Source organism: Homo sapiens, chromosome 12 (genome assembly GCF_000001405.40).
Source record: "Homo sapiens chromosome 12, GRCh38.p14 Primary Assembly".
In the NCBI taxonomy this organism is placed as follows: domain Eukaryota; kingdom Metazoa; phylum Chordata; class Mammalia; order Primates; family Hominidae; genus Homo; species Homo sapiens.
In genome coordinates, this window is record NC_000012.12 from 8,908,255 (window position 1) to 8,913,842 (window position 5,588).

At 40.7% G+C, this 5,588-nt stretch overlaps 2 annotated features.

Moving 5' to 3' along the window:
* Window positions 1–656: an enhancer, noted in NCBI's record as "NANOG-H3K27ac-H3K4me1 hESC enhancer chr12:9060851-9061506 (GRCh37/hg19 assembly coordinates)". NCBI's record gives its function as "activates a minimal SCP1, AML or CMV promoter by ChIP-STARR-seq in naive H9 embryonic stem cells {active_cell/tissue: H9 hESC(naive)}" and the evidence as "EXISTENCE:reporter gene assay evidence [ECO:0000049][PMID:30033119]".
* Window positions 3,388–3,940: an enhancer, noted in NCBI's record as "OCT4-NANOG-H3K27ac hESC enhancer chr12:9064238-9064790 (GRCh37/hg19 assembly coordinates)". NCBI's record gives its function as "activates a minimal SCP1, AML or CMV promoter by ChIP-STARR-seq in naive and primed H9 embryonic stem cells {active_cell/tissue: H9 hESC(naive and primed)}" and the evidence as "EXISTENCE:reporter gene assay evidence [ECO:0000049][PMID:30033119]".

The window sequence follows — 5,588 nt, forward strand, 5'->3', positions numbered from 1 at the left end:
TAGAGGTGCCTGCAACCATGCCCGGCTAATTTTTGTATTTTTACTAGAGATGGGGTTTCACCATGTTGGCCAGGCTGGTCTCGAACTCCTGATCTCGTGATCCACCCACCTCAGCCTCCCAAAGTGTTGTGACTACAGGCGTGAGCCACCGTGCCCGGCCTGTTTTTTTCTTTTCTGTGTGTGTGACGGAGTCTCACTGCCCAGGCTGGAGTGCAGTGACACAATCTAGGCTCGCTGCAACCTCTGCCTCCCTGGTTCAAGAGATTCTCCTGCTTCAGCCTCCCGAGTAGCTGGAACTACAGGCACGCGCCACCGCGCCCAGCTAATTTTTGTATTTTTAGTGGAGACAGGGTTTCACCATGTTGCCCAGGCTGGTCTTGAACTCCTGACCTCAGGTGATCCACCCGCCTCGGCTTCCCAATGTGCTGGGATTACAGACATGACCCACTGTGCCCGGCCTTAATCTATTTTATCATGATTCTGGTTCACTGCAACCGCCGCACCTCTTGGGTTCTCAGCCTCCCTAGTAGCTGGGATTAGCTAATTTGTCAGTTTAATTCTTAAACCAGCTGCAGAACCTAAGAGAGTAGAAGGAAGTTTTCCTCGCCTACACTAGGTTGTATGTTAGTTTTCTGTTGCCACTGGTAATGATTTGGGACACAACAATAAGCCACAAATTTAGTGGCTTAAAACAACACAAATGTATTATTTCACAGTTCTGTAGGTCAGAAGTCTGACATGTGGCGGTGGCTAACGCCTCCCAAATCCCAACACTTTGGGAGGCAGAGGAGGGCAGATCACCTGAGGTCAGGATTTTGAGACCAGTCTGACCAACATGGAGAAACCCCGTTTCTACTAAAAATACAAAATTAGCTGGGCCTGGTGGTGCATGCCTGTAATCCCAGCTACTCGGGCGACTGAGGCAGGAGAATCGCTTGAACCCGGGAGGCGGAGGTTGCGGTGAGCCGAGATCGTGCCATTGCACTCCAGCCTGGGCAACAAGAGGGAAACTCTGTCTCAAAAAAAAAAAAAAAAGAAAAGAAAGAAAAAGAAAAAGAAAAAAGGCCAGGCGTGGTGGCTCAGGCCTGCAATTGTAACACTTTGGGAGGCCAAGGCGGGCGGATTGTCTGAGCTCTGGAGGCTGAGGCAGGAGAATCTCTTGAACCTGGGAGGTGGAGGTTGCAGTGAGCCGAGATCGTGCCACTGCACTCCAGCCTGGGCAACAGAGTGAGACTCCGTCTCAAAAAAAAAAACAAAAAAACAAAAAAACAAAAACCCTGTCTCTACTAAAAATACAAAAATAGGCTGGGCGGGGCATGGTGGCAGGCGCCTGTAATCCCAGCTACTTGGGAAACTGAGGCATGAGAATTGCTTGAACCTGGGAGGTCAAGGCTGCAGTGAGCTAAGGTCACGCCACTGCACTCCAGCCTGGGTGACAGAGTGAGACTCAAAAAGAGTCTCAAAAAGAACATAATAAAAATTAAAATAAATAAATAAATAACATAAGAAAAAAAGAAAGAAGTCTGACATGCGTCTCACTGGGTGAAAATCAAGGTGTCAGCAGGGCTGTCTGTGTTCTTTTCTGGAAGCTCTGGGGAGGATCCATTTCCTTGCTTTTTCTGGCTTCTGAAGGCTTCCCACCTTACGTGGCTTGTGGCCCCCTTCCAGTGTCAAAGACAGAAATGACAGGTTAAATACTTCTCATGTCACATCACTGAACCTGTCTTTCCTGCCTCCCTCGTCCACTTTTAAGGACGCTTGTGATTACACTGGGTTGCCAAGGTAATCCATGATAATCTCCCTATTTTAAGGTCAACTGATTAACAACCTTAATTCCAATTGCAACTTTAATTTCTTTTTGCCATGGAGCATAACGTATTCACAGATTTCACAGATGGGGACATCCTTGGTGGGGGGGCATTGTTCTGCTTACCACAGTTTATCAGTAGACAAGAGAGAAAACAGCCAATTTAGGGAAATAATATATATATCTCTATTTTCTGCTGAGACATCTCCACAGTGTCTTTACAGACTGATAACTAGAGCTATTTCTCTAGTTAACAAAGGCAGAGTGGCCTTCCATTGCAGGTATTTACCATGGCAAATGCCAAGCTTCTTTGTGCAAATGTTTATGTGTGTGCTAAGCATTTTAAATAGATCTTTTGCATCACTCTATTTTCACACTGTGAAGGATATAATGTAGTTATGAGCTTTGAAGATGGACAGACCTGAATTTAAATTCTGACTCCATTACTTATTACACCTATGAACCTTGAGCAATTTACCTAATCTTCCAGAGCTTTAATTTCCTCATCTATAAATTAAGGATTAAAAACAGCTAGCAGAAAAGGTTATTGAGTTGAATGCAATAATGCATGTGAGGCCATGAGCAGAGGCTCTAAGTATATTTTGAATTGTTTTTCCCTTTAGATGTTTTCCCAGGTACCTGGTTCTCTGGGCCTAGGACACATAATCCCAGAGGGTATAAATCTAGTGCTTGGTCCCAACATGGTTTTGCTCCCTAAATACTGAAATAGTAGACAAGACGACACACCTGAAGCCCGAAAGAGGTAAATTTAGTATACAAGGAAGGGAATACTCTTTGTTATATAAAATAATAGTAAGTTCACTAAACTAATTAATGCATAAACTCAACTAAATTGTGAGTTAATAAGGTTGTGATGTAAACTGAATAAAACATAAAGAATGGTTTAGTTCTATTTGGTGATCACAAAAATATATTAGTTACTAAGGAAAATTAATAATAGCCTGTGCTATGTGTCAGGTCCCAATGTGAAGTGCTTTACAAACATCTCACTTATTTCCACCAACTACCAGGTGTTACCCCTGTTTTACTGAAAGCAAACCAAAGTTAAGGAAAGGTGCATAACTTGCCATCATTATAACTGTCAATACTGATGAAGAGTATGTTATCGTCAGTCTTATGCTCCTTAAGGATGTAGGGGTACTTCTATATCTTTTGCGGGCAATGATGGATGGAATATTGGGCTGAACCAATTAGTATGTTAATTTTAAACTTCTGCTTGAAGAAAGGATCTATGGTAGGTATTAGTAGCGAGAGATGAGAGGTATCCTTTATATCTTTTAATTTCATATTCTTTTCCTATGAGAGAAGGGCAAGAATCTAGGAAATTAATTCAGTTAACTAATATTTATTGGACATTTTCTATTTTCCAGGGATTACGAAATATCCCTCTTCTACATTTATCATTTAGACTTCAATTGTCTTCACTGAAAACTGAGGGGCTTAGTTTTAAAGTTCTTTTTTTTTCCTTTAAATATCTAAGAGCCTATAAATCCACTCAATCTTCATTTTCTCCCAACTAGACCTTAAAGTGGCATGCAGAATTATAGTGAGACACAGGTGGGCTGTGTATGGTGGTTCACAGCCACAGTTGGTGGTGGGGAGAGTAAAGGTTATGATTTCCTTTTTTCTCTACTTCTTCCTATCCATATTTGCATAAAAACATGGTCACACATTCTTACTTGATTACTTGTAGAAAGACACATTCCAAAGATACTAACACCTTTAGGGTAAAGGACATCTCTTCCTTCACAATTTATTGCAGAATGCTAGGTTTACAGGAGAAGCTTGAGGAATGCTTAAGCAATGTTCAGTTGATATGAAAAGTTCTATTAGCTTAACTTCTAGTCTATTTGCTTCAGTTGCTGCCAAACATCGACAGCCTTTCAAACCAGGATCCTTCCTTATTTAGAGAAGTTTGCAGGAGGGCTTCCATTTCCATACACCGGATTAAATGCTTTTCCTTCTCACCTGTTTAGGCTAATGGCCTTCAGTGTTATGCAGAGTAAAGACATTCTGTAGCCTCCATTCAGAAGAACCATTTTGTTTGAAAAAGAAAAGTCTAATTCAAGCAGAGTCATTAAATGAAAATGAGAAACTTTAGAAAAATTAAGAAAAAAAAGTTGAGTATTCTCTAGGGAACACAGATTGTTTTGCTGTTTAGACCGAGATAAGTTCTTCAATGCCTGCTCTCAAGCTGATTTAGTCTATGAAAATGATTTTCTTATGGATGGAGGCTTTCCTATAACTTTACTTTGCTGTTGATATATTTCTTTTTTATACTAAATCTTTTTTGGTGGGAACTGTTTAGACCTATGACCTTAGAACACTGGCCTGACTTGGAGAAAAATGAACTTGAAAAGAATCCTGTGATATATGGAGCACACACCTTTACATATAAAAATTAAACTACTGGCCCATAATCAGTATAGCTCGCCTCATGATAGATTATTCTCAGGCTAAATTTATAACAGGCACTCAACAAAAGTATTCATCGCTTATCCCCTAACATTATCTAGTAGCTATAGGAGCCGGTGACCTAGTAAATAAAAAAAAAAAATCTTTAGGGGTGGAATGTAACTATATGCAGTAGCGGTAATTCTGCTCCATTTGTAAGGAGGGTGAAATGCGATATGGTCATGTACCCTCTTGGTACACAAGTTCCATAGGCTATAGAAAAACAAGTCCATACCCTCTGATATCTGCATTCCTTATTCTTGTTATAGCTTACAAATCTTCTTTAGACACTTAACAGTGATAATTCTCCCAGGGAAACTAAGGAAGCACATGAGTCATGTTTCTTAACTTTAATGTTGTATAATCTGAAAATTATCTATAGATGCTTTTTTTTTCCATTGGTGCTAGAAAATTCCGCCTAGGCTCAATCGATATCCATTTCTAAACTTCTGCAAGAAAGCTTTAACTGCTTTGACATGCCAAAAATCCAGGTGTGAATTAAACAACGAATGCTTTACCTCGTTTTCACCACTAGTTCTACCAGTCAGAATCTTTTCAAATCATCCTCAGCCAGTGCCTGTCATCCACGGCCTGGTAACACACCCTTTCACCTCCTCATACCCCGTGTCTTCGCTTTTCCAGTCCTTTGGCTGCCCTCCGGTTTCTTCCCTCACATACCTGTCTGACTAGTTCCTAGAAGCCTGGCAGAAATTGTTCTCCGATTTTAATCTGGCTGCCACAAATGAAAGACCTTGGAGTCCAAATACTCCTCTCTCAAAGCAAAATCTAAATGGATATAATTTATAAGCAAAGATAACACTTCTGTTTTTTTCTCTATAAACAAACCATGCATGGGCTTTTAAAGGAGAAAAGGAAGAGTGGATTGACAGAGAAAATAACTGTTTAGGATAGAGGTTAGGAAAAGACTGAGAGCAAGAGAAAAGGCATCAATCCCAGTTGTTAATCCACGAGGCATCCCCCAGACCCTTCTGTAAAGGTTAATGAAGGCAGTAAGGCAGTTATCTTTGTTTCGTGCACTGATGCAATCCAAGCTTCCACGGTTTAGCACATAGTAGACGCTCTATAAATATTTATTGAATGTTGAACGATGAGAGAGTAATTAAAAACCGGTAAGTTGATATCATAAATACAACGACAACGGCTCCCCTATCAAATGTTTAGTGTTCCCAGAGACAGCCCCATTGTTCTACATCTCGTTATACTCTGGCCTTTTCCCGTTTTTGTCATTCGAACTCATATACATATTGAAATCGAAGCACACACAAATCCCTGAAATGACAAACTT